The sequence below is a fragment of the Homo sapiens genome, chromosome 14 (assembly GCF_000001405.40).
Source record: "Homo sapiens chromosome 14, GRCh38.p14 Primary Assembly".
In the NCBI taxonomy this organism is placed as follows: domain Eukaryota; kingdom Metazoa; phylum Chordata; class Mammalia; order Primates; family Hominidae; genus Homo; species Homo sapiens.
The window spans coordinates 23467347-23494975 of record NC_000014.9 but is presented as its reverse complement, the minus strand read 5'-3'; the positions used below and the strand labels follow the sequence as shown (position 1 = coordinate 23494975).

Below are 27629 nucleotides of genomic sequence, written 5' to 3'. Positions count from 1 at the left end.
AAGGATACCATGAGCAATCAAACTCATTAGCAGCACTTAGCTAACATCACTATTCACTGTCTCCTAACAGAAAATAAGGCCCTTTGGGAATAGAAGTAGGAAAATATAAAATAGGGCAAGAAAAGCAGGTAACGGTCCAGGGCTCAAGGTACCACAGTGAAGACAGCAGCCGTGGTAGTTAGCATAAGACACGACAGTCCCCTGAAGTTAGCTCTAAAAGGAGAGTGGGTAAGTGTTGCCAATTTAATCCATCCAGGACAATCTCTGTACAGAATTTAGCAATATGGGAGCCAGTGATTCCCAAAGACACTTGCATACTTTTGCTGAGGCAAGATTCTCAGCCTTGGACCTTCCAGTTTCACATCCTCCTCCCTTCTTCCCTCTGCAAAATGCAGAAAAAATATCCCAAAGGCCAACCAGCTATTTTCCTCTCTCAGCAGCTCCTGGTTAGGAGGAAACAAGAGCTGACCAATAGGATACCAGCGCAAATCAGCCTCATCCATTTGGAAGTCCCAGCCAACCAGAGCCTGTGAGCACAGTAGGAAAAAAGGGGGAGGGGAGTGGAAGAGCTCAAAGTACATTCCTCACTGCTTAATGCCAGACATGGATCCAAGATGACTGGTTTACTGCCAGCAAGGCCTTCTGATAAGCCAGTCAATTAAATCTCCCCTACTGAGTATTTCTTCCTATCTTGTACCTCCGTGGGGTTCCCATCCCAATTATCTCCCTATACACAAAGAAAGACAAAGAAGGATGAGGATGCGCACATGTGGGGTGGGGGCGGTGGCAGCAGCATGTTTTTGCTTTTTTTCTTTTTAAACTAAAGAATAAATGAAAGAAGCCTGTATTGTAGTGTGGTAGAAAGGAAACTGGACGAAAAGTCAAGATATCTAGATTCTGGGCCTGCCTCTGCTACTCACAAGGTCTGTGACCTCAAGCTGGCTACTTCACTTCTCTGAACCAGTTTCCTCATCCAAATGAAGGTGCCGGCCCATCTGATAACCAAATGAGTACCTTCTACATACTAGGCAACTTGGGAAATGCTTTATACTTATTTCTATTTCTCATAAAAATCCTATGAAGTGGCCAGGCGCGGTACCTCATGCCTGTAATCCCAGCACTTTCGGAGGCCAAGGCAGGCAGATCACCTGAGGTCAAGGAGTTCGAGACCAGTCTGGCCACAACAGCAAAACCCTGTCTCGACTAAAGGTACAAAAATTAGCTGGGCATGGTGGTGTGCACCTATAATCCCAGCTACTCGGGGGGCTAAGGCAGGAGAATTGCTTGAACCCGGGAGGCAGAGGTTGCAGTGAGCCAAGATTGTGCCATTGCACTCCAGCCTGGGTGACAGTGAGACTCCATCTCAAAAAAACAAATAAAACAATCCTATGAAGTAGTTATTATCTTTATTTTGCAAATGAAGAAACTGCGGCTCAGAGAGGGTAGGCAACTTGCCAAAAGCTATGCAGCTAGGATGTGGTTGAGTTTCAAGGTCAGTTTTTTCAGATTCCAAACCCCATTAAGCCATATGCCATTGTAAATGACCTCCAAATTCCCTCTCAGCTCTAATGCTCTGGAGTTTCTTAAATGATCCCTCAATGTCAGTTTTTCTTCATTGATCTGTTCATAGCATCAAGATCTAGAAGCTAAATAGCCCAACTTGAACTTTTTATGGCCACAGTGGCAAACATTTCCAATTATTCAAGGATCCTAGATCCCTGGTGCTGGAAGAGGCCTCTTCCTCCCTCCCTCCACACATTTATTCCTCCATTACTCACACAGGAGGAAAGTCAAAAAAGGCCTTCAAGAATAGAAGCCTTCCTGAATGTATCTACCCCCTTTATTTTTTCTGTAATAACTACTAAGGCAACTGAAGTTGTTAAAGTAGCAAACAATATTCATTACTTCTCACTTATTTTTAGTTATTGTTTATTTGTTCCTGTGTGTAATCCAAAAGTCAGTAGGGCTTGAAGGTGACTGTACCCCTTTTCATTAGGGCAGGCCCATTTTCACTGTGCACTAGCCAGTGCTGCCCTATAATCAAGAGGCCTCTTGCTGAACTGATGAGCACACACAAGCACTCTGATCCCACCCTTTAGTGGCTTCTGTTCAAAGGCAGCCTGACTCACATTCCAAACAGATCACACATAGGGCAAAACAATATTTACCAAACAAAGTGTTAAAACAGAAAATAAGCAATGTGTTAAAGTGTTATATAATTCCTCACCCCCACCAGTGCTGATAGGTAGTTAAGAGAAATCATTTTGACTCTAAGCAGAGTTATACCTAAACCATTCCAGGCATAATAGTGACTAAAAAAGGGAAATGCAGACAGGCACAAGGATGTTCAGAAAAGACATAAAATGTAGACACTTGATTCAAAAAGAAAAAAAAAGACTATGTATCTCAGAGAACAGGTGCAGACAGAGGTCAGAAATAATAGGGGAAAGTTACCCTAGAGTTTAATCAAAAGAGATCTGTCAATATTTGGCTTTTTCTGCAAGAGACCATCCAGTAGAAGCAATTAACATAAAGCAAATTCAGGTGAGGAGCAACCATTTGTCCCATGCTAGCAAGGGAAACGGTACTCTCATAGACTTCCACTAGCAGTATATTAGAGTACCATTTCCCTTGCTAGCATGGTTTAGCGTTTTTGGAGGGAACTTCCATCTCCACTAACATTTAAAACTTCTCTCCAGCAAGTCTACTTCTATGCATTTATGACAAAATATTCCAACATTCTTTCTAATAGTACTGCTTATAGTAATTCCCACCATTAGGGAAATAGTTACATGAACTGGAGACATTAGTTCCTTAGAATAACATTACCTTTTTTTTTTTTTTTTTTTGAGACAATTTTGTTCTTGTTGCCCAGGCTGGAGTGCAATGGCGCAATCTCGGCTCACCGCAACCTCCGCCTCCCAGGTTCAAGCAATTCTCCTGCCTCAGCCTCCCGAGTAGCTAGGATTACAGGCATGCGCTACCATGCCCGGCTAATTTTGTATTTTTAGTAGAGACAGGGTTTCTCCATGTTGGTCAAGCTGGTCTCAAACTTCTGACCTCAGGTGATCTGTCTGCCTCAGCCTCCCAAAGTGCTGTAATTACAGGAATAAGCCACCACACCCGGCCAATATTATATCTTCAGGTAGAAATATTTTCAAGGTATATTATTAAGAGTAAAAAAGCAAGTATGGTATAACCCTCTTTACAGTGTGCTTCCAGTTATCTAAAAATAAAATAACAACTTCAAAACACTCACAAAACCATGTAATACTCTTCTACGTAAATAAATGCACAGAAGGGGATCCAGAAGGACATACACTAATTTGATAACACTGGTTACAAGAATTTGGGGGTGAGGATGAAAGGGGTATTCTCTTATCTATATTATTAATCTCATGGTTGGGGGAAGGGAATGCGGGAGGACGAATATTAGCCTACAGTAAGAGGCATGAGTTCAGATCTTCACTCTGCCACTTACTAGTCCCACAATTACTGGCAAGCTGCTTAATCTCCCCGAAGCCTCTAGAATTACCTAGCTGGCTCATGGGGTGCTATGAAGTTTAAGTGAAAATGTATACAGCACTTTCCACAGAGCTCACCACAAATAAGCACTCAACAGATGGTAGCCATTATTTGTATTATTATTAATAATAAATTCAGTATAAAAAACTGGATCCCTGAGATCATTTCCAAGAGAATCTTTATGACACTTGATTATGGCTTTTTATATTAACCATCACTCTTTTTAAAATTATGAATTCTGTGAGTTTCAGTCATTAAATTTTAGAGCTGGAAAGGATCCTACGTAGAAGTTCATCTAACCTGGTAGTTCCCAAATTTGGCTACGCAGTAGAATTAGCTAGAAAGCTTTGGGAGTGGGGGGATATTCCAATGCTTCATTTCAGACTGAATTAGAACTTCCGGGAGGGAGGATCAAAATAATCTCTATTTTTTTGTGTGCAGATCTTCAGTATCTTCACATGTACTCATACATGAATAGAACACCTTTATGGAGGGGAGACAAGGGGCAAAAGTGGCAGAAAATTTCATTGCATTCCCTCTCATAGTGTTTAAATTTTTTACCTATTCAAAAAATAAGTCCTTAAAAAATTTAAATAATAATAAGTTTCCCAGGTGAATCTAACACAATCTACAGACTAGAATGAGGGTCTTTATGCTTTGTGCCAGAAATTCCTCTTCAGAAAACTAGAGACTTATGTATAAAGATGTGAATGTCATCGTAAAAGGAAGAAAACCTAACTAAACAACAAAAACCTGGAAACATTCTAAATGTCTAACAAATAAGAAATGGTTTTACAAATTTTGGTATATCCATGATGGAATATTACATGTTCATTAAGCATGTTTTTGTTTCTGTTTTAGACAGGATATTGCTCTATAGCCCAGGCTGGAGTGCAGTAGTGCAATCATGGCTCACTGCAGCCTTGACCTCCTGGGCTTAAGCGATCCTCCCACCTCAGCCTCCCAAGTACCTGGGACTAGAGGCACAAGCCACCATGCCTGGCTAATTTTTCGTATTTTTTTTTTTGTAGAAATGGGGTCTCCCTATGTTGCCAGGCTGGTATTGAACTCCTGGGCTCAAGCAATCCTCCTGCCTCAGCCTTCCAAAGTGCTGGGATTACAGGTGTGAGCCACCATGCTAACCCAAGTATGTTTTTAATATGATTTTTTAATAGTATAGGAAAAGATGACACAATGTTAAGGAACAAAACAATATAAATGTGTATAAGTTGCCTAATCATAATTTTGGAGTAGGAAGATGGGGGGGAAATATCTACAAAAAAGTGAAAGGAACTATAGTACATACAAACACAGACCTGTGCCCTTTTCTCTTCACTCTCCACTGCCTTTCTTCAGGCCTGCCCCTATTTAGGAACTGCCCCTATTTAGCCACCCAGGCTGGCTTCAACTCCCATTTAGGAACCTAAGCAATTTATCCTATTCAGTTACCTTTCTTGTTCATCACATAATTATATCTTACTCACCATCATACTTTTTGCAACTTTTAAAAAATAAGAGCTCCCTTCAGAGGACAAATACTTGCCACAACTAGGAATGTCACAGACTCTAAAGCAATGATTCCACCTTGATAAACGGTTATATATTAATCAACAAATTTACTGAACAGCTGCTAACATGTAAGACTTTAAGCTAGTGCATTTGGACCTCACTCTGAAGCCCTGTGTTTCTTCCATCAAAAAGACCCCCATCTCTGGGGTCAGATAAGACACATATATGTAAGAATGAATAAGTAACAATATATAAAAAAGGAGCACAGGCAACAAGTGCTACAGGAGTTCATATTTGTATGTTCATATGTATATGCAGAACGGCAGAATGAGTTACTGCACTTTGTTGAGCGTTTTTTGTTTTTTGTTTTTTTTTTGAGACGGAGTCTCACTCTGTTGCCCAGGCTGGAGTGCAGTGGTGCAATCTCAGCTTACTGCAACCTCTGCCTCTTGGGTTCACGCCATTCTCCTGCCTCAGCCTCCTGAGTAGCTGGGACTACAGGCGCCCGCCACTACGCCCGGCTAATTTTTTGTATTTTTAGTAGAGACGGGGTTTCACCATGTTAGCCAGGATGGTCTCGATCTCCTGACCTGATGATCCGCCCGCCTTGGCCTCCCAAAGTGCTGGGATTACAGGTGTGAGCCACCGCACCCAGCACTTTGTTGAGTTTTTTAAGGCAGGTTCTCACTCTGTCACCCAGGCTGCAGTGCAGTGGCATGAACCACAGCTCACTGCAGCCTCAAACCTCCTGAGCTCAAGCGATCCTCCAACCTCAGCCTCACAAGTAGCTAAGATCACAGGTGCATGCCACTATACCTGGCTAATTTTTTTTTTTTGTGTTTTTTACAGAGATAGGGTCTCCTTATGTTGCCCAGGCTGGTCTCAAACTCCTAAGCTCAAGCAATCCTAACACCCCAGCCTCCCAAAAGTGTTGAAATTACAGGTGTGAGCCACCATGCCCGGCCAAGTTACCACACTTCACTGTGTACATCCTTTCCCCACCCCACTAAACTGGAATATATACACCCCTCAGATATAGCAGTTCTACCTCATTCCTTATTTTTGTATCTAACCCTAATGCTTAATGTGTCTGACAGAGATAGTAGGTGTTTAATATGCCAACATTTTTGAGTTAATTGATTATTATAGCAGGAATAATGGTGGTGGGCAATGCCATCTAATTAAATGAATGGTGGTGAGAGGGATATAAGATAGTACTTGCCCCTGATGCATTTCAGACTGAAAAAGGTTGGGTTAAGGGCCATCAGAAGGATCTGCTAACTTGCTGGATACCTTCCAGACATCATTTATTGGTGGGGGAGCAGGGGAGGCAAGGGAGAGTTTAGATCTGTACTAAGCATAGTTTTCTTTTACCTTTCAGAGGAAAAAAGCAATGACAAGCAAGCTTTCCCTACTTTTTTTCAGGCTAGGTCACACCTCACAGTGGAGTCCTCTGTGCCGGCCATACTCTTGTCAATCCACACCATCCCATCCCCCCTTCTTCTGGCCCCATACAGAACTCGTCATTCTCCTGTCTGTCAACCCCTCAGCCAAGAAGAGAATTCATGCTAGCCATTAGACAGCCATCTGAAGTCCTAGCTAGGAATCAGTGCCCTAAACCTCCCAGAGAAGCAATGACCTAATTTAAAGTGAAGGTTCATCCCTAAAAAGTTGATAGGACCATAGAGAGCAAGGTCAAAGTTCACCCTGGATGCAATGAGAAAAGAGAACTGAGGATGAATCCTGAATTTCCCCATCCTGGATTTTCTTGGTGCTCCAGGACACAGTACACACTACAGGATCAGTATTTATCTAGAAAAAAATCTTCAAAGTGCATCACCTCCCCTGGCTTTGGGCAAACTTTAACCATTCTGAGCAGATAAGAATTTACCTTCTAGAGTTCCTTTAGTAAAGTGTCCCACTGCCTTGAAATAAGGAAGTTCTCCTTCATTTCTAACCTAAATTACTCCTGTTAAAATTGAAATTTATTTCTTTAGAAGACATTCAAGGCAGCAAATTAGCATCCTGTGTCATTATTTCTCAGGTTATTCATGCACACTAATGCTTGAGACTCACGGCTCTACTTCCTAACCATTAGAAGCTTCAGGTTTCATTTCTCCAGTGCTAATAATTCTAATTTTTTCTTTTTTAATAGGTTCCATGATTTCCCTTCTCCATCTCTTTATACCTATCTCAGGTTTCTTTCCACCCTTAGATTGTTCTTTCCACCTCAACCTTTATTCCTCTTCCCCCTACCTTCCCATCCCTAAATATCCTCTCTTAAATGGACAAAAGCCTTGTTTCACCACCCCCCATTTTTCTGACCTGGCATTCTTCCCTGTAGGAATGTTAATTAGCATGTGGGATTTAATTAATTCAGCACCTAATTAAAAATGAGAGAGGAAGAGGGGGAGAGGAGGAGGGCGGGACAGACAGCGCCCGCTACAGTGCAGAAGGCACCACAGATGGTTCTGGGTTGGCTGGCATCATGCCACCGCCCTCCAAACCCCCTTCTGCCCCCCCCCCCCCCCACCAACAGCATGCACAGTGAGAGGGGAGGGACAAAAGTGAGGGGCATAGGCTGGCAGAGTCTCTAGACAGGCTCATTCAGTCCTGCCGCTGCTTTGTGCTGGGGAGAGACAGAAAGCGAAAACAAGAGAAAGAAAGGGAGAGACATGGACATACCCACACTCAGGAGCCAAAGAATGGGACATCTGAACCGAATAATTCCTCTCCTCTTCAACACTGGAAGAAGCCAAGAGACCTTGTTCGTCCCAAGAGAGAGTCAGAATCTTGGGGTTCCCTGGCTCTTAAGGATCACTGAGGACAAGATGGGAAAACATAGCACTGATCTTCTGGAGAAAAGGGATAGCTTACTTTGGCAACCAGGGACCTACTCTGCTGCCATTCTTCCCACAGCATGCTGTTTGCTCAGCAAGAGCAGGCGATGAGGAAGATAGCTATTCAAAATGAAAGATGGGGGGAGTGGGCATGGATGGGCAACAGGGAGCAAACAGACAAGAAGGAGATTTAAAGGAAGGGTATCCATGAGAGAAAGGGAGAAGTGAGGGAAAGCAAAGAAGAAATAAATGATGGAGGAGAAGGAAGAGGAGGAAGTTAGGGGCACAGCGATGCTTTGTTTGCCAAGATGGATAAAGAGGGATGGAATGTCTATGCAGAGGACTCCACATACTGATCCCACACAGCCTAGGCCAGGCAGAGGGCAATGGCAGCATTGCAGGCAGAATGCAGGAGCAGATCTTTCTGAGGGGCAACCAAGCTGCCGGAGACAGGGAACCCATCCCACAAGATCTTCCTAAAAACTGGATATTTCTACCAAACCAGGAATTTATCAAAAGCAATGGAGAAAATCTTCCAAATGAACAGAAAAGGAGGCTAGAATGACAGGAAACTGCAAAATCTGATTCCAGGAGCTCCAGCGGGGAGATGGGTGAGGAATGGGATTTGCAGCAGTACCTAGTGGCTCTCTAGGAGTGTCCCCTGATACTCTCAGGGGAAATGTGTCCAGTAGGGGACTGATGTGAGGATATGAGGGCTGAGAAAGACAGAAAAGGTTTGGTTTCAGAAAGCACCCCTTTGGTGGGAGGCATCTAGGAAGCTTTGTGGCTCGAAGCCTCGGGGGGACTACAAAAGGAGGGTAAGAAGGAAGTCTGCCATCAGTGACAGATTACATAAGACTTGACTGAAGGAAACTAAGAAGGAGGGTGTGAAGCCAGATGAAGGTTTTCTGGTGTTAACAGCCACAGAGCTGAATGCAGTACAGAGAAGGGTCATTGTAACTAAGAGACAGGGTTTTCCTGGCTAGGAATTCTGATTTGATCTCTTTACCACCTAGGGCTTCCTGTAAGAGTCAGCAGTGAGTAAATCAAAATTGGGAGAGAGGAAATAGAAACTCAGGGGCTTTCTGTTCTCCAGAGCCCACCCGTGGGGCTAAACCCAAGGCTGGGAAATGAAACAAAGCAGTTCTCAGGGTAAGGTACCATTGGCTCAAAGTGGTACATACAAATGCTTTCTAAGCCTATTTTCTATTCTAAGCTTTAACTAACAATAAAAATTATAAGAAAATGTATTAATATAGTCACAATGGTAGTTTTACACTAGAACAAAATGATGTAAGATTTAGAGTTATCAGCACTAGTGGAAGGGGGTGGTCCATAGAACCTTTTGTTATTTAAGTGATCCTGGGACTGAAGAGTTTGCTGCGGAAGATCAGCACAGAGAGAATGGAGCGTCCAGAGTTCCAGCATCCACCACCAAGTGCCATCCAGCTCCAAGGTATTTAGCAGAAGGGGTATACTAGCCAGCAGTTAAGGTCAAATTAAATCTGGAATGGGAATTCATTCCCTGCCTTGGTACTCTGGAGGCCCCTGTAGTAGGCTAGCCTGTGTAAGGCCTGCGGAAATGCTAATACCATCCCAGCAAGCTAGATTCCTCAACCAGCCAGCCAAGCCCACATGCCCTGGCTGTCTTGCTGCTGATGCTGTCTCAGCATCAGGCCAACCAAGGCCAGCTTTTGACACAAAACCTGGCCACGTTGCTGCCTTCAAGGCTGCCAGTGGCTCTGGGGATGAATTGGAGACATTGGTTTCTAAGGGGTAGTAAAGGAAAAGTCAGACCTGGATGTGAGAGAAAACAAATTCTAATACCAGCTCTGCTAATGACTTATTTGAATAGGCTTAGATAAATCATTTCCCCCATAGGGCCTGTAAGCAAAAGAAAACAAAAATCAAACAATTTTAGCTACAGCAATGTAAGTATCTACAAAGAAAAATAGTTAAAACTCAATTTACTGCTCTCCCAAAGGATGCTAAAGCAGCTAAGTCTCTACCATTCACTGCAACAAATATTTATTGGATCTTGCTTTTTAAAAGAGGGACCTAAACAGAGATCACTGTCTACATTACATGAAACCATGACCCTAACTACAGTCCCCTGAATACAGCAAGAAAGATCTCTAAGAAAGGAAACAGGAAAATCAGCTGAGGAAATGAAGAGGCCACCAGCCTCTGCCTCCACCAACTCATGTATGCACCTTAGGAAGGCAGGAGAGGTAGGCAAGAAGACAGGGCTCCACAGGCACTTCCATGGCCCAGACAGTAAGGTGAGGGGTTGGTGTTCTAGTCCCTGCTTTTCACTGTGGCTCTGGCAAACTCTGCCTCTCCCCATAGTCCAGGAGTCAGTCTTGACTTACACATGCTGAGGAAATGGAAGCCAGCCATTCTAGGACTGCCACTTAAGCTAAGGAAGATCTCCTCCCACCAGGGAATCAAGGAAAGAGGTCCATATTGTGGCCTATTCCTAGTATATACAGAAGTCAGACTCAGCACTACCATCCAGGGAGTAACTGGATGCTACTAATTCATAAAGAATAATCCAATAAGAGAAAAATTAGCCATCCTAGAAATTGGATAACTTTACAATAAAAAACACTGCTGAATTAGCTGGTTGTGGGGTACTGGTCTCACAATGAAAGGTCTCCAAAATAAAGTTAAGAAGCGAGATGAGGCAAGAGCTAACAGTCTAAAGAGTTTGGGCATATTCTGGAAAGGCTAAGCAATACAGGGCACTGTGGGCTGAATGGGGCAACCAGGTAAATTCAGCTGTGATAAAGGAACAACATGGAATGACAAAAAAAGGAGGCAGACTACAAGAGTGAGCCAAGGTCCTGCAGCCAGAATTGTGCTCAGCAGTGACCAGAGAGCCAGGATGTCCATCACATAAGTGTCACAACTGTCCTGGAAAGAACCTTCTGAGGACACAAAAGATCAGTAACAGGACATCTCCTCCAGTCTTCAAAACACAGGATAACGAAAGTAGAGGTATCCTTAGCAATCTAATCCAAAAGTTTCTGGATGAGCCATTATTATCTGAATTCTTGCTATTCCCTAGCTCCCATTTTCCCAGCATGTAGAACCCAAATCTGTAGATTCAGATAACACAGGATCGATCGCTTGCCAAGTGAACTCTCCTTATCCAAATCCAGGAACTGAATAGATGCAGACAGCAAAGGATATCTTCTGTCTCCCATCATGTTTCCCCTGTAGAGCCTCGTCATTCTCCCACCTACTCTTCGGTACTGACCCCTCAGTTCTCCTCACCCTGTTCTCTTCTAAGCCACCCTCATCTACAGCCCCCTTTCATTGGGAGAGTCATCTGTAAGATGTCAGGGGTAGAACAGATAACGAAAAAGGGAGTAGGGAAGAGTGTAGATTTCAGGTAGGGAAGTGAGATGGAGATCCTGCAGACAGAGAAAGAGAGAGACAGAAAGCAAGAGAGCCGGAGCTGGGGGAGGGGAAGAAGATGGCACTGCGGAAAAAAGAGCGCCACAAAATTAATTTGAGGAAGGGAACAGTAGAGGAGACGTTGGTGGAATAACAATCAGGCAGTAGAGGGCTGGGGAAAGGGGGAGGGCGACAGGGTGGGGAGGAATGATGTTGGCCGGGAGGGCCCTGCCTGCAGAGCAACAGCAGCACCACCTATGGGTATGGTGAAGGGCTACAGGCTGCAACAAAAGAGGTTCCCGCCTAGGCATGGGAGTCTGGGGTGCAGGTGGGGAGGAAGAAGCCATGGCTTTTGCCATTCAAATCTCTTGGTTACACAACATGCAGGCTAGAAGAATAAATAGTATATGGCTTTCCTGGGAAGAGAGGGACTTAAGGTAAGGGAGGGAAGACAGAGAACTCCTGGCTTTTTCCATTACAAGGGGGTTTCCCCTTCAGAATTCAGGCAGTAGAAAAGAGAAGAATATGAAGAGGGAGGAACACCAGGTACTGAAAGGAATGTGAGCACCTGCTTATTTCATTACCTGGAGAAAGGATTTTTATCTTTATTTCCAAGTGATTTCCTCTCCCCACTGGATATAAGAGAATACAGCTGCCTCCCTGGGGCCATGAATGCCCCTCACTCAGCTGCTTCCTCCCAGCACTGCCTCAAAACTCCCAACCACCATTAGAAACCCCCAGGGAGCCACCAAGGTCTAAGAAGGAAAGAAGGGAAGGGTTCCCCCCACCAAACAGACCAAGTGGGGGAGGACAGGGTGGAATGAAAGAGAGAATGCAAAAGCTCTGCAGAGGGAGGGGAGAGAGAAATGTGATCAGTAGTATTTGTTGTGCTTCCAGGGAGGAAGGATCTGTCACATTTTTAATAATAATAAATACATGAAGACAGATTTGCCAGCACTGCTCTGGCTTCTTGGGAAGTGTGGGGGAGGGGAAGTAATGCAGCTGCAGCACACACCAATATCTCCCCCTCCCCTCCCCCATTAGATAGGCTCAGTATTGCAGCAGCCTCCCCCTCCCCCTCTAACCGCAGTCCTCCCCTTCACAGCCCACCCTTTCCACGGTCCCGTCACACAGTTCTGCCCCTCCTTCCCCTACTTGTATCTCTACTCACTCCAACCCCACTCTGTCCTTTCAGTGCTGGTCCTCATTTAACACATGCTTACTCTAGCTGGAAGAAACCTTAGCACCTACATCTTAGATGAATGAATCTGTTCCCCCAATCCTGAGGCTCTGCTGTTTCCAATCAGTGCCCTTCACTAGCTGACAGCAATCTTCCCCTACACCCCACACAACACTCCCACAGATGTAATCCAGCACATTTCAGCATTTCCTGGATTCCACCAAAAAGGATTGCTTTTCTCCCCGTTTTAATCTCAATGTGACCTCCTTTCTCACATCCTTCCTTAAATATAATGGCCATCAAATGTGTTTGTGTTTAGGGGGTGTCAGGGCCTCAGGACTCAGTGACTACTGCCACCTATTGACCCAAGTTTGTTCACGATAGACCTTTAATACACTTCTTACACAGCGACGCTCTGTCATCTCAAAAGCATCAATAGCTTAAACATGCAAAGGCATGGCTCTGGGGGCTTCTCTGAGACCCTCTGAACAATGAGATCAAAGAAACACAAAAGCAAGACTGGGCAGAGAGCCAGAGCATTGATGCCTTTCCTCATGCAGAGGCAGAAAACGAGGCCCAAGGAATGAAAAAGCAACTTTAAGTCCCCTCAAGGTTCTCTAAGCAAAGATGAGTAGGGAACAGAGTTTTTCTTAAGGGCTGGTAAAAATTTCATGTATCATAATATAAATGATAAATGATGTTACCAATGGAGCAGGAGGCAGGATTCCACTCACATACCTCCATCAAGTTAGCCAAATCCTTGGCATGAATCTGGGATTTATGGACCTAAAAGATTCCAGGGAGGATGGGGGACACTCAGGGGTGTGTTTGACTCTCATCCAATCTGTACCAATCAGAACTGGAGACTGGACAAACTGGGCTCTGAAAAAGGGCAGGTCTACACCACGCAGCTCTATGGTTTAGCTGTGTCCCATTCACCAAACCAAGGAATGAGGAGCGTTTGAACTCTCCATGGTGCTGAAAATTGACACACTAATAATCTCCCCTGCAAACAAAACACAGTTTTCCTAATAAGGTATCTATGAAGACTGTTGTGAATTCCCAATAGACATTTCCCCAAGCCTTCATAAAATCCTAACAAAACAATGATTTTAAGGCAAAGACAGACCTTGGTCAAACTCTCTTCCCTGTCCCCTAAGATGAAAAGAATGAGGCAGAGATGTAAATTACTTCTACAGAATAAAGCTATCACATGACAAAACCATCACATGATAAAACCAAACAGGTAAGGTGCTCATGTGTGCATTAATGACAGCTATTACTTAGTGAACACCAGAAATGATCTGTTGTCAGCAATACACTGAGGAAATCCGATATTCATATGGTCTGAATAATCAGATAACTGAATCTATTAGTAGGAATAAGGGAAAGAAAAAAAGTGACCAGAACAGCCATAACGAAATCCTAAAATTCTAGTTCTTAGTTCCCTTGTTCTACTACCCTAACAGTTGTTTTCAAACTATATTCTAAGGAATTCTAAAGGTTCCTTGGGGGCTCCTCAGGAATCTTGGGGAAAGGGGGTCATAAGAACATGGAACTTCAGGACCCCTCATTCCCACTTCAATCAAAGTAACCCCACTTATGCTTGTTTTACATATTGAGAATCCATGTAATACTCCATCAAACAATACACTCTAAACAGTGTTTGATGACTCTGGTACAAATATTCTCAGAAATAGTTCAACTTTTTACCAGAAACTTCTTTCAAATAATGCCTAAAAGCCAGGGAAAACAAAATGTCCTGGGATTAAAGACTTGATTGAATTAATATAAGGTCCACAAAGGCAGGGATTTTGTCTGCTGTGTTCACTGGTATACCACAAAGAGACCAGAATTGTGGAACTTAGGGTTTCTTTGAAGACGAGGCCTGTAACAGAAATGGGGCAGTAGGGCGGGGGAGCTAGATTATAAACCACCTACAAATAAAAAAAGATTTTTTAACCCTGAAGATTTTCATGAACCACAGGACACTTGAAGTCCTCCATCCTCAGTGTTCCCCAAGCACTGGTTCTCCAACTCAGGAAAAATTGTTTGCCCTAAGTGTCTAAGCTTCCTCACTAGTAAAATGGAGATTTCATAAATTTTATAAGGATTGCCAGGCGTGGTGGCTCATACCTGTAATCCCAGCACTTTGGGAGGCCAAGGTGGGTGGATCACGAGGTCAGGAGATTGAGACTATCCCGGCTAACACAGTGAAACCCTGTCTCCACTAAAATACAAAAAATTAGCCAGGTGTGGTGGCACGTGGCTATAGTCCCAGCTACTCAGGAGGCTGAGACAGGAGAATCGCTTGAACCCAGGAGGCAGAGGTTGCAGTCAGCGGAGATCACGCCACTGCACTCCAGCCTGGGCAACAGAGTGAGACTCCATCTCAAAAAAAAAAAAAAAAATTTATAAGGATTAAGTATAAAGCACTTAGCTCAGCCTATAGCACAGGAATTTTTTTTTTTTTTTTGATGGGTCTTACTATCATTCAGTCTGGAATGCAGTGGTAAGATCATAGCTCACAGCAAGCTCAAACTCCAGGGCTTAGGCAATACCCCTGCCTCAGTCTCCCAAGCAGCTGGGACTACAGACACACGCCACCACACCTGCCTAATTTTTTTATTTTTATTTTTTTTTAGAGACAGGGTCTTGTTGTGTTAAACATGCTGGTCTTGAACTCTCTGGCCTCAAACTATCCTCCTGACCCAGCCTCCCAAAGTGTCCAGATTATAGATATGAGCCACCACACCTGGCCAGAAGGTAGTACCTGTTTTGTTTTGTTTTGTTTTGTTTTGTTTTTTAAAGAGCACTTCCCTTCCCCTGGAAGTTCCCATAATCCACAAATCTTAATAAATTAGAAACAAATATAGTGGTCCTAACAAGCAAATGAAGTGGTTTTAACTAAAGTATTTTTGAACTGAATCACTCATCTAGTTAGTTCAGCCATAAAGGAAAAAAAGTCTCTAAATCTGTTCTTGTGGCTCTTTGTTTAGATTCCCTTGAGGAAACAGAAGTATGAGAGCCCAGGGCATGTGAGACTCTCTCAGATCTATCAGGGACTAAAGGTTAGCGGCCCCAGACATAAGCCCATCTTGGTGTCATGCACAAAAGCTCTAGGCTCTTTGACTTGAAGGGAATCTCACAGATGAAGTCTAATACATTCCTTAGCTGAGGAAAATTAAAGGCCAGGGATATTAAGTGATTTGCCCAAGATCACAGAATTAGCCTAAGACAGCCATAGGTCCAGTCTCCTAACTACTTTCTACCAAGCGGCAGCTGAGTGAAAGACCCCTGCCCCAATCAGGCTGAATAGTATAAATCCAAATTCAGAAATTCAGAATCAACGAGGTTTTAGTCATATAACCCAAATTAATTTGTCTATCGATATAACCCAGCAATACTAGACATTAAAATCAGATGTTCATGAGACCCAAAGCCTTTTTTAAAAACTCCAATGAATTAATTCTACAGACCCAACTTCTATCTTTTTTTAATCCCTTTTTTCACTTTCTGTATTATCCAAGGCCTGTGGGACATCTCACCAACAGAGGTTATTCTCTCATTAGAATACAAGATCTCAGATGTATAACGCCCACCAGTCTCCTGGCTTGAGTTTGGCTAATTATTTCTGTGGGATTTTCATTTGTTTGGCTGTTAAGCTAGGAATGTTCTGCTTGTCTGCTGGCATTTTTTTTTTTTTTTTTTTTTTGCCAGCTCTTTATAGAAGGGTTGGCCTTTATTGACTCTGGTAAAATGACCCTCAGTTGAAGGCGGGGGGGTGGGGGTCAGAGTCTGAAAAACACAAGACTATACTGACTCTTCACTCTAGCCTTCTTACTCACTCTACTATTTTCTACAAACTCCCTCAGTAACTGACCAAAGATCAGCCTTATGTTCATGCTATTTCAGAAAGAAATGAAAAACATTCAGAGAAGTGGAGATAAGAATAATCTTGCTGATGTGGAAAGGTTCTATCTTGCTTTTGATTACAGCCAAGCTCAAGTTTCTTGAACCACTTATGCCACCTGGTGGCCAGCCCAGATAACACTAATAAAACCTAAAATTCATGTGTTAATATCTCAATCTGTATTGTATTATAACAAATCATACAGGAAGTTGTGGCAACATGGGTTGAAAGAGTTGATTATACCAGCCTCGTCTCTCAATACTTTTTGTGACGTAACCAATTTTTAGTTTTTGGGAAAAATATATTATCAAAGAAAACAATACAAATGTTTTGCACTTCCAAAAAAAATTTCCCTTTTCACCAACCACTCACCAAAAATATCCCAAACCCAACGACTCCAGTCGTACAATACATGTGCAAAAAGGGGCTTTAATTCATAAGCAAAATCAATTTTATTAGTAAGGCTCTTTCCACATGTCCAAAGCAAACAATTAATGAATTCCAGGGAAAACCACCTATATACAATGAAATTAGAAGTATCTCAGGATGACAAAAAATATACAAATATGTACACCCATAATCACCGCCGCCTCCGAAAACCTGAAAGGAAGGGAAACCAAGAATGAGGCAAAGGACAGTTGGAAAAGCTAAAGGGACAGGAAAACAGGACATCTAGAGGGAAGGGCTCACAGGGGTGGGGTCTCCTAGGCAGTACCCTGAATATCTTCCCAGGACAAAAGACGAGAAGTAGGAATAAAATTGAAATGGGATAATGGTTCCTTCAAGTGACACTTTACCAGTTCTATTTAGGGAAGCCTGAACAGGAGCTGTGGGACCTTAGAGGCAGAATCCAGAGATTCATTTTGTGAATGATGCTGATTTCCAGCTCAGGAAAGCAAAAAATAAAAGCCCACCTAAGGAGATTATTGCCCAGTATGGAAGAGATACTACAGGGCTTGGTGAGACCCAGAATGGCAAATCCAAAGAGACTCAATTTGTACTCCCCACCTTGCACCTGATCACCTAAGTCCCAGCAGTTCACTGACCTTTTTTCTTCCGACCTTTCTGAGGTATCTTCTTCCGCTTCTTAATAGGATTCTGATCCTGGAGACAGATGGAGAAGTGATGGAATGGCACTGTGGTTCTGAGAGCCAGCATCCCTTCCCAAGTTCCTCATGGTAATAAGCCCCACATACATTTTGCTGAAAGCATGAAAGTCACATCCTACTACAACCATATCTCAACCTCACCTCATCAAGATGAACAGTTCCCCCTGTCAAAGCACTGATGTCACTGAAGTGTGTAAGGGAATGAAGTTGTGAGCTCATGACATTTGCTCGTTTTCGCCGTCCTTTCTCTCGCTTACTGACGCTCAAACGCACCATCATGCTCTCCTCATAGTTAATCCTGCCAGAGAAAGACAGTTTCCAGCAGGCTCAGACCATGGAGATGGAAAGCTCCAGCCCACAACCTGGGCCCAAGTATCTACTCATCTCTTGTTCAGGGAGTTCTCAAGAAGTTTCACAGCAGATCAACATAGTATTTAGTAAGGACATATTGAATGCTCAATACTGAGCTTCCTCAATGAAATGTGCTCTGTGCTAGAACTTCCCTCATGCTAGATATGAATCCATAGCCTATCCACAATATTATTTAAAATATTACACCAAAATTTTTTTATTTCAGCTCTATAAGCAGGTTTCCCTAAACGTGTCCTTTCATGCAAATCCATCAACTGCAAAGACTGCACCTGAGCAAAGTTGACGAGTCTGTATTCAATTACACTGCTTTTCTACTTTCCTTCCCTGAACTTATCTAGCACTCACAATGTCACTATAAAAACCTACCTTTATTGCCTTCTGCACAAAAGTGAGAGCTGTGACAGTGAAACACAGAATCTTAAAGTTGTACTATGTGGAACTGCATACATTCCTCTTTGTACTGCTTTTTTCCCCCTCAAATCTCATGTCGAATTGCAATGTACTGCTTTTGCTTTGAACTAAACAGTTGGGGTAAAAATTTTCCTAGTTTCTATCCTGAACTCCAAACTCCTGATTCTTAGAAACTATCATCCCAAAGTTTTCACTCCATTTTCTATGTAACATTAATTCTCTTGGTACCAAACTTAGTCACATTAGTATAAAGCATGAGGACAGGACTCTAGAGTGCAGGAATAATTTCTAATGCAAGGGCTCAGACCTGTGTTGGTCCTCCTGACTCTGGCGGGTAACATGGGGATGCCGAGCATCACGGATTTCCTCTGGAGCATCTGAGTACTGCTCCTTAAGTTCACGAATGACAGAGCTGCTCAATGCCCGTCTCTTGGCTCGTTCTAGACGCTTCTTCTCCCGCTCAGCTTCTGTTTCATCTACATGATGAAAATAAGCAGGGTTATCCAAGAACAGAGAAAAGAGAAACAGTTCATGCTGAGGAGGCAGCAGCCAAAGTTTATACCATAATGTACTGGAACCAAGCGTGGAGGAACATATTTCTTAGACACTCCCTTCACAGATTTCTTCCCTGAAGCCTCAGACTGGTCATCTTCTGCTTCATCTTCCTCCTCATCCTCAGAGCTCAACTACAAAAGAAACAATGTCTGCAAATTTAGGAAGCATTCATGAGATAAGTGAGAAGAAAACCCAAAGCTGGAGTACCCTGGGGTGGTGGGAATATAAAAAGGGAAAAAAGGGAATCTCAAACTCAGCATTCTAACACACAAGTTGGAAAATCAAGTCCTAAGAGAATCCCAGGGTATCCAGGATCACCAAGAGGCTCATCTAGGTATAGCTGCCTCAGAAAAAAATCAGGAGAATACTACAACCCCTTACCTTGCTCATCATATTGCTGGGATGAGGCTTAAAACGAAGTGGGTCATTCTCACCTGAAATAAATAACCCAATGAATTTTACAAAATTTGGAACTTTCTGATGGTCCCCACAACTTCATGATGGTCTCCTCACTTACTAAGGCTGCCTGTCACTGCAGTCTTGATCAGCTTGTCAATTTGATACTTCAGCTTTTGGTCCAAGGGACGAAGCTTTTCCAAAACCTACAACATGGTAGTTAATCAGGATTATATTTCCTTCCCAAAATGAAGCACACACCAGAGTCCCTATATTAAGGTGCCACATAAGGCACCTAAAATATGTACAAAGTAGAGCAAATGAATAGAAAAATACCTTTTCTCATTTGGTTTCCTTAAACATGAGAAGACTCACTTAAATGAGAGCTACTGTGTGATACCCTTGGAGCTCAAAATTTAGAAACCTAAAACTCCAAGAAGCCAAATGCTTCATACCGTGCGAATCTCCACCAGTCTCAAAACTGCATCATGTCCCTGAAGAGATCCTCCTGAGGCTTTGTCCAGAATGAGGTGGGTCAAATCCATAAGGTACATGAGCAGCAGCTGGTCTTTCACTTCCAAGAAGCTGAGACCCTGAGTTGAACAAAACAGAAAGAAAAACAGATTTGGTTTTAGCCAAAGAACCAGATGAAAGCCTAGGGTAAACGGGATGTTTTTCCAAGTTCAAGATTTTCCCAATCAGTTCATATTAGGTATCTGGAATAGTCTCAAGAAGTAGCTATGCCTAAGAAGGCCAATGAGAAAGTTATGCTAATACAAGAGAAACAACGCTCAGAAAATTAATAGAAGACAATGAGAAGAGGAAAATCAATAAACTACCCCCCCAAAAAAGACTATAACAGGGTTTCTCAATCTCAGAGCTATTGACATTTGAAGCCAGAACATTTTTTGTTGAGGGCTGTCCTGGGCATTGTAGGTTTCCAGCAGCATCCTTGGCCTCTTCCCACGGATGGCCCCTCCAAGCTCTAACAATCAAAAATGTCTCCACAGACTGCCAAGTTTTAAATTAATTTAATCAAAGTAATTACCAATTTCCCCCCATACAATGGAATTATATGATACAGGTAAAAACAATGATTTATATATAATGACATCGAATTAAATCCATGTCACCACAAGTTGTAGAAAGTGTAATATGACTTCAATTGTGAAAGTGTGTGTGTGTAGGGGGGGATATGATGAATACATTTTATACACATAGAAAAATGTCTACAAGACAACACACAAGTAACTGCTACCCCTAGGGTGAGATGAGGAAAAGGAAGAAATGGTGTACTTTAGAGTGTGAAAAAGTGTTGCATATATTATTCTTATAATTTTAAAAATCTCAAAAATATTACCACAGTGGTTATCTCAGAGTGGTGATTATACTGATTTTTCATTTTTTTCTTTGGGCTTTTATGTATCTTCCAAACTTCACAGCCCTGAGAAAACCTATTTCAGAGAGGTTAAATACTTGGCCAAGATAACACAGTAATACAAGTAGAGCTAAGATTCAAACTCAATCTGACTCCAACACCTCATCCCTGGATGTCTTTAAGCCAACATGCTAAGCTCTTGAGATCAACACTACTGTGGTATAGAAGGAGAGCAAAGGATTTAGAGTCCACAAACTGAGTTTAAGTTCTGAATTAGGTGTTTGGTAGTCAAATATTGAGTAAGTCACTTAACCTTGTGACCTCAGTCTTTTTTTTTTTTTTTTTTTTGAGATGGAGTCTCACTCTGTCGCCCAGGCTGGAGTGCAGTGGCACTGTCTCGGCTCACTGCAACCTCCACCTCCTGGGTTCAAGTGATTCTTCTGCCTCAGCATCCCAAGTAGCTGGGACTACAGGTGCCTCCCACCACGCCCGGCTAATTTTTTGTATTTAAGCCAAATATTCTATGGGTAAATACAAGTATGAAAATCATTGTTAATAAGAGTCACTGAAGGAGTTTTAAGCACAGGAGTTATAGCAGATTTGTGCTTACAGAAAGATAACTAAAAACAGCATTCAAAATATATTCCCTTCTTGTCTTTATCATTCACTTATGTTCTTACTGTCCATTTTTATTTAAAAAAAATTTAAATCTTTGTTTAAGATTTAAGAGACGGGGTTTCGCCATGTTGGCCAGGCTGGTCTCGAACTCCTGACCTCGTGATCCACCTGCCTCAGCCTCCCAAAGCACTGGGATTACAGCCGTGACCCACTGCACCAGGCCAACCTCAGTCTTATCAGTAAAATATGTACATTTCCTCCCTGCCACAAAGAATAATTATGAGGCCCAAATAAGATAATGTGAAAGAACTTTGTAACCTATAAAGCACCTAGTAAAAGTCTTTGGTCAAAAAGATAAGTTAATATGTATTTGTTCAATAAATAAACAAATATATAGGGATCTAAGAAGGATGCTGGCAACTCATCCATCTCCAAAAGGCACTGAAATGGTTCAAGGCATGGTACCCAAGGCCTGGTGTGGTGGCTCACACCTGTAATCCCAGCACTTTGGGATGCCGAGGTGGGTGGATCACCTGAGGTCAGGAGTTCGAGACCAGCCTGGCTAACATGGTAAAACCTCGTCTTTACTAAAAATACAAAATTAGCCAGGAGTGGTGGCGGGCGCCTGTAATCCCAGCTACTCGGAAGGCTGAGGCAGGAGAATCACTTGAACCCAGGAGGCAGAGGCCGCAGTGAGCCAGGATCGTGCCACTGCACTCCAGCCGGGGCGACAGAGGGAGACTCCATCTCAACGAAACAAAACAAAACAAAAAAGCATGGTACCCAGGACAAAAACAGGTAAGAATTTGAGAAGCAGGCTCTTCCGACGTGCTTGGGCATTGTCAAATTCAAACTGAGCTACAAGCATATGAGAGAAAAACAAAGATTTAAATTTTTTTTAAATAAAAATGGACAATAAGAACATAAGTGAATGATAAAGACAAGAAGGGAATATATTTTGAATGCTGTTTTTAGTTATCTTTCTGTAAGCACAAATCTGCTGTAACTCCTGTGCTTAAAACTCCTTCAGTGACTCTTATTACAATGATTTTCATACTTGTATTTACCCATAGAATATTTGGCCTAAATATCTTAGGACAAAAGCTCAATATATAAAAACAGATAATACCAGAGTTTTCCAGTTAAGTAGGGATGAGAGATCCAGAGTTGTTCTTCCACATTGCCCCCAACCAGTAATCCCTGAGAAGGTTCTACCAGACCTTCATTTGAAAACTACAATATTTTAATTGTTGTTGTTTTGTTTTTTTCAGATGGAGTCTTGCTCTGCTGCCCAGGCTGCAGCACAGTGGCATGATCACGGCTCACTGCAACCTCTGCCTCCTGAGTTCAAACAATTCTCCTGCCTCAGCCTCCCGAGTAACCGGGATTACAGACAGGCACACGCCACCATGCCCGGCTAATTTTTGTATTTTTAGTAAAGATGGGGTTTTGCCATGTTGACCAGGCTGGTCTCGAACTCCTGACCTCAGGTGATCCATCCGCCACAATCTCCCAAAGTGCTGGAATTATAGGTGTGAGCCACCTTTTCTTCTTAGCCTGGCCTTTTTTTTTTTTTTTTTTTTTTAAGACAGTCTCACTCTGTTGCCCAGGCTGCAGTGCGATGGTGCGACCGTGGCTCATGGCAGCCTCGACCTCCTGGGCTCAACCGATCCATTCACCTCAGCCTCCTGAGTAGCTGGGACTACAGGCACACACCACTGCGCCCAGCTAATTTTTTTTTATAGAGATAGGTCTCACCACATTGCCCAGGCTGGTCTCAAACCCATGGGCTCAAGCAATCCTCCCACTCTGGCCTCCCAAAGTGTTGGGATTACAGGCGCATATTTCAATTTTAAGATGCACATGGTTTTCATATTTTAACATCTCTGAAATCAGGATGCATGTTTCAGTCACTGGCATCTTGGTATTATGTCATAAGCAATTTTTTTTTTTTTTTTGAGACAGGGTCTTGCTCTGTCACCCAGGCTGAATGCAGTGGCACAATCACAGCTTACTGCAGCCTCAACCTCCCAGGCTTAAGCAATCCTCTGGCCTCAGCCTCCTGAGTGGCTAGGACTACAGGCACATGCCATCATGCCCGGCTAATTTTTAACTTTTGTAGGGTCTCACTATGTTACCCAGGTTGGTCCCGAACTCCTGAGCTCAAGCGATCCTCCAGCCTCAGCCTCCTGAAGTGCTGGAATTACAGGCATGAGCCACCATGCCCGGCCTGTCACATTTTTTCTTAATATATACAATAAGTGATATGTCCCAATTAATAAGTGTCTTAGATTAGATGAAATCTGAAAGTAACTCCTCAGTTGGCCTACAGTAATCTTCAGAGTGACTTTTCCAGTCTTATTTCCTACCCCCAACACACATAACACAGAAAGTACATCCTATCACAAAAATGACTTACTCCTTTCCCTTATCACCATACTTTCAGGCCTTTGTGCCTTTGCACATGTTCCTTCTTTCTGTCCCTCCCATTTATTCCTCAAAATCCTATCACCTCCTCTGGGAAGCCTGTCCTGAATCCCTCTGCTCTTCTGGCAGTTAATTAATCCCTCTCTTTGGCTGGAGACTCATAACTCTGTAATGTGACTGCTACTATTAATACTTACATCTATTGCTTTGCTTTGTCTTCCCTCTAGACTTCAGCACAGAAACTGGATCATATTTATGTTTGAAGCTCGAGCACTTAGGATATATAAGACACAATAAACATACAATGAAAGAACTACTGAGAACATTAAGTCAGGGGATGCTTACTGTTTGAGTACATCTTACCTTTTCTGTAGGATAGGCACCAGCTTGAACTTTTTGTGTCAGTGATTTCACTTGTGCAGTTACAGCCATCACCTGAAATTAGCCCAAATAAAACAAGTGATTAGATTATATCAAATTATGTCTGCAAACTGTGAAGAGCAAAAGCTAAACAATGCCACCTAAAAATTATCTGAAACACTGTCTAAAGTATAGTACTATCTTCTCACTTCTCGGAAAGCATAGGAGAGATGGTTCTTCAAAAAGTTTAAAAAAAAAAAAACTTTCCACTTCTTAAAGAAGAGACCATCTTTTACTGAACCACAGGGAGGAGAAAAGGACTGAGAGAGTAGTGACTGAAGCACTGTAATTTTGTTTGTACTAGTTGAACTTACAATGCATAGAACTACATAACTCCCCGACTTATGACTTAATTTCCACTTTACGAGGGTGTAAAAGAAATATGCATTCGGTAGAAACCGTCCTTTTCTCGTGATGCTGGGCAGCGGCATCAAGCCTAAATTTCGACTTATGAGGTTTTCGAATTACAATGGGTTTATCAGGCCATAACCTCCATCGTTAAGTCGAGAAGCATCTGTATATAAGTGTGTATTACCTGGGCACCCAAAGGGCAAGTCATGTTACCATTCCAAGCACTGGTTTCCTTAGCTATATGAATAAAGGAAAACTATTCATATAATTTCTTTTTGGAGTTTCTTGTATTCCCTTGGGTGCAGAATCAATTACTTAGAATTCTGGCGTGAAAAGGTTTTGATTACATCATTTTACTCTAAGGTTTTTGGAAGCATTCACGTATCTCAATCACCAAAGTTTTGAGGTGAAGTACACAAACTCAAAGCCAATCCGTGACTAATTTATTCCAGAGGCGACACTACTCACTTGCTCCTGGAGATTTTTCAGAAGTGTCACGGCACTTGGCAGGTCGGACTCCAGCACCCCCTACAGAAGGGAGAGGAGGCGTAAAGAAAAGTCATTCTTTCCTCAGGATTATAGGAAAGTGGAACGTCTAGGGTGGGAAACTGCCCTCTCTCCGTCAGACACCCAGACTCGGGGCCTTCACACTCGGGTTCACAGACTCGCCTTAAAGCCAGCCCCTTGGGTTACCGGACAGGAACGGTAACTCTAGGGAGGCCGCCTCCCTGAAGCAACTTTCATCACCACCCTTCCCTGGTACCAACAGTTTGCCTCCAGCCGCTGAAGGCAAAGGACAACTCCACAATAGCTACGCGAGGAAGAAACCACACCAAACTCACCAGCGCCGCCATCTTCGCAAAGCCCACCCCTTCCGGTGTCGTACTTCCTGAGCGCTAAGGGCGACTTGATAGATTTGATAGACAACTGCCGCTTGCAAATCTAAGCCAATACGAATAAGGGCTTTCTCACTTCCGCCCCCAACAGGATAAACGAGAGGAGGAGTCTGATCTGGCCAATGGAATAAAGGAACTGGCTAAATTCGTCAGACTCAGAAAGAGTCGTCAGGACGAAAAAAAGCACTTGGCAAAGAGCGTGTGATTGGTAGACTGAGTAAAATGATTGACGGCAAGCCAATAAGAGACAGTCAAATAATTGATTGACAGTTGGAAGGACCAATAGAAAAAAGGAATTAGCAGAGCGAACTTAGCGCGTATTGGCTCCCGTCTGCCGCAGCACCCAGAGTCTTTTTTCACGGCACTTTTCTTGTAGTGCGTGAACCGGCCGCTAGGTGATGGGCCTTGGCTTGGCTTTGCGGTGTCGACATTGCAGAGCCGCCATTGCTGGCTGCTCATCCAACGGCCACCGCGCCAAATGCCTTACAGACCCGGTGGCCCTGGAATCGATTCTGTAACACTACTCCTTGTGTGACCGTGGACAAGTCACTCGGTCTCTGAGCCTTCTTCATCTGTAAATAAGAGAGCGAGGCTAGAGAAGCCCAGAGCCAGAGTTTAGAAACCGAGTGCGAGGACACCTGCCCTCTTGGTGTGCACTGTGGAGCGCTGAGAAACGGCTCCAATAACGCCCCGACACTCTTCGCTCCTACCAGTTTGGGGACATGAAAAGAATACGTTTTACAAATTGGGGAACGGTTCATATTTACATGACTTACCGCGGTCACACAGGTCTTCAGCAGAACTTGGTTCAAACTCTGGCAGTGCATGTTTCAGTATAACCTGCCTCATCATTACCCAGTGCTTTCAGATGTGTTCTCTCACTCTGGTTTTTCACAAGCTGGTGAAGTAGGTTGGACGGATACTCATTGTTCCCATCCCATGCCTTAGGAAATAAAGCACCGAAAGGGTGAATGATAGTGTATAATTTTTTGTTCACAACTCGTCCAACAGAGCTGGGTCTAGAAATCAGATCTTACCGACTTGAAGCTGTCTTTTGGAATTAAGAATAACACCTGTATCTGGGCAGGTGAGGTAAGGAAATCCTGGTATCTAGATCTTGCTGGATTCAAGAAGGCAGGAGGGTGTTCAGTCCCCACTCCTCTAACATTTAATTTGCTGCTTCAGGCCCACTGTGGAAGCTCAGGATGCTGTTGCAGCATACTTAGTCAATTATCCAGTAGCTTTTGTAATGTTTTATCAAGATTTGTATTATGAAAAGTTTCTATTTCTACATAAATTTTCGGACCTGTCTAATTAGATCAGCAATAAACTTTTCCTTTTCGGGGAATTTGAAATTTAGTTTGTTCATATGCTTTATGATAGCAATGAGAAAACAAATTGCACTGCCATATTTTGGGTTTTTTTGAGACCGAGTCTCGCTCTGTTGCCCAAGCTGGAGTGCAGTGGCGCGATCTCGGCTCACTGCAACCTCCGCCTCCCGGGTTCAAGCGATTCTCCTGTCTCGCCCTCCCGAGTAGCTGGGACTACAGGCACTTGCCACCACGCCCGGCTGATTTTTTTTTTTTTTTTTTTTTTTTTAGTAGAGACAGGGTTTCACCATGTTAGCTAGGATGGTCTCGATCTCCTGACCTCATGATCCACCCGCCTCAGCCTCCCAAAGTGCTGGGATTACAGGCGTAAGCCACCGCGCCCGGCCTTTTTTTTTTTTTTTTTTTTTGAGCGGAGTCTCATACTGTTGCCCAAGCTGGAGTGCAGTGCCGCGATCTTGGCTCACTGCAACCTCTGCCTCCCTGTTCAAGCGATTCTCCTGCCTCAGCCTCCTGAGTAGCTGGGATTACAGGCACCCGCCACCATATCCAGCTCATTTTTTGTATTTTTAGTAGAGACGGGGTTTCTACTAAACCATGGTTGGCCAGGCTGGTCTCAAACTCCTGACCTCACTATCCACCTGCCTCGGCCTCCCAAAGTGCTGGGATTACAGGCATGAGCCACTGCTCCCGGCCTTGATTATTAAAATAATTGTCCACCAGGAACGGTGACTTGAACCTGTAGTCCCAGCTACTCTGGAGGCTGAGGCAGGAGAATCACTTGAGCCCATGTCAAGGCAGCAGTGAGCCATGATCGTGCCACTGCACTCCAGCCTGGGTGACGGAGCAAGACCCTATCTCTAAAAAAAAGGTGAAAGAGGGAGACCCCATCTCTAAAAAAATAAAATACTTGTCAACTATAGGGGCAGAAAAGTGTGATACCTTTCCTCACCCATCATAAGGGTCATAGAAGACACTCCTATAACAAAAGAAGTTAAC

At 43.3% G+C, this 27629-nt stretch overlaps 1 protein-coding gene across 2 annotated transcripts, besides 5 other annotated features; it reads right to left on the bottom strand.

The window, feature by feature from the left end:
- Nucleotides 279-979: an enhancer, noted in NCBI's record as "OCT4-NANOG-H3K27ac hESC enhancer chr14:23963206-23963906 (GRCh37/hg19 assembly coordinates)". NCBI's record gives its function as "activates a minimal SCP1, AML or CMV promoter by ChIP-STARR-seq in naive H9 embryonic stem cells {active_cell/tissue: H9 hESC(naive)}" and the evidence as "EXISTENCE:reporter gene assay evidence [ECO:0000049][PMID:30033119]".
- Nucleotides 11391-12147: an enhancer, noted in NCBI's record as "H3K27ac-H3K4me1 hESC enhancer chr14:23952038-23952794 (GRCh37/hg19 assembly coordinates)". NCBI's record gives its function as "activates a minimal SCP1, AML or CMV promoter by ChIP-STARR-seq in primed H9 embryonic stem cells {active_cell/tissue: H9 hESC(primed)}" and the evidence as "EXISTENCE:reporter gene assay evidence [ECO:0000049][PMID:30033119]".
- Nucleotides 12148-12905: an enhancer, noted in NCBI's record as "NANOG-H3K27ac-H3K4me1 hESC enhancer chr14:23951280-23952037 (GRCh37/hg19 assembly coordinates)". NCBI's record gives its function as "activates a minimal SCP1, AML or CMV promoter by ChIP-STARR-seq in primed H9 embryonic stem cells {active_cell/tissue: H9 hESC(primed)}" and the evidence as "EXISTENCE:reporter gene assay evidence [ECO:0000049][PMID:30033119]".
- Nucleotides 16150-25273, bottom strand: NGDN (neuroguidin). 2 transcript variants are annotated; one of them, NM_001042635.2, is made up of 11 exons: nt 25249-25273; nt 24875-24934; nt 23999-24070; nt 19668-19805; nt 19334-19418; nt 19198-19250; nt 18824-18947; nt 18569-18737; nt 17620-17776; nt 17416-17473; nt 16803-16969 (listed from the first exon to the last, which is right to left on the bottom strand). In NM_001042635.2, exons 1-11 carry the CDS (start codon nt 25258-25260, stop codon nt 16950-16952), a joined length of 948 nt encoding a protein of 315 aa, NP_001036100.1. In that variant the 5' UTR covers nt 25261-25273; the 3' UTR covers nt 16803-16949. The 2 variants fall into 2 exon arrangements, with proteins under 2 accessions (NP_056329.1, NP_001036100.1); NM_015514.2 differs by having other exon boundaries at nt 16150-17473.
- Nucleotides 24570-25510: an enhancer, noted in NCBI's record as "NANOG-H3K27ac hESC enhancer chr14:23938675-23939615 (GRCh37/hg19 assembly coordinates)". NCBI's record gives its function as "activates a minimal SCP1, AML or CMV promoter by ChIP-STARR-seq in primed H9 embryonic stem cells {active_cell/tissue: H9 hESC(primed)}" and the evidence as "EXISTENCE:reporter gene assay evidence [ECO:0000049][PMID:30033119]".
- Nucleotides 25597-25646: a silencer, noted in NCBI's record as "silent region_5609". NCBI's record gives its function as "represses an Ori minimal core promoter by ATAC-STARR-seq in GM12878 lymphoblastoid cells {active_cell/tissue: GM12878}" and the evidence as "EXISTENCE:reporter gene assay evidence [ECO:0000049][PMID:35858748]".

Excerpts from the sequence above, each read along its gene's own strand:
- NGDN (NM_001042635.2), bottom strand. Across the intron at positions 19,251-19,333 it reads TGCAGTGACAGGCAGCCTTA|GTGAGAATGACCCACTTCGT; the intron begins GTAAGTGAGGAG and ends TATTTATTTCAG. Across the intron at positions 17,777-18,568 it reads AGTCAGGAGGACCAACACAG|GATTAACTATGAGGAGAGCA; the intron begins GTCTGAGCCCTT and ends TTTCTCTGGCAG.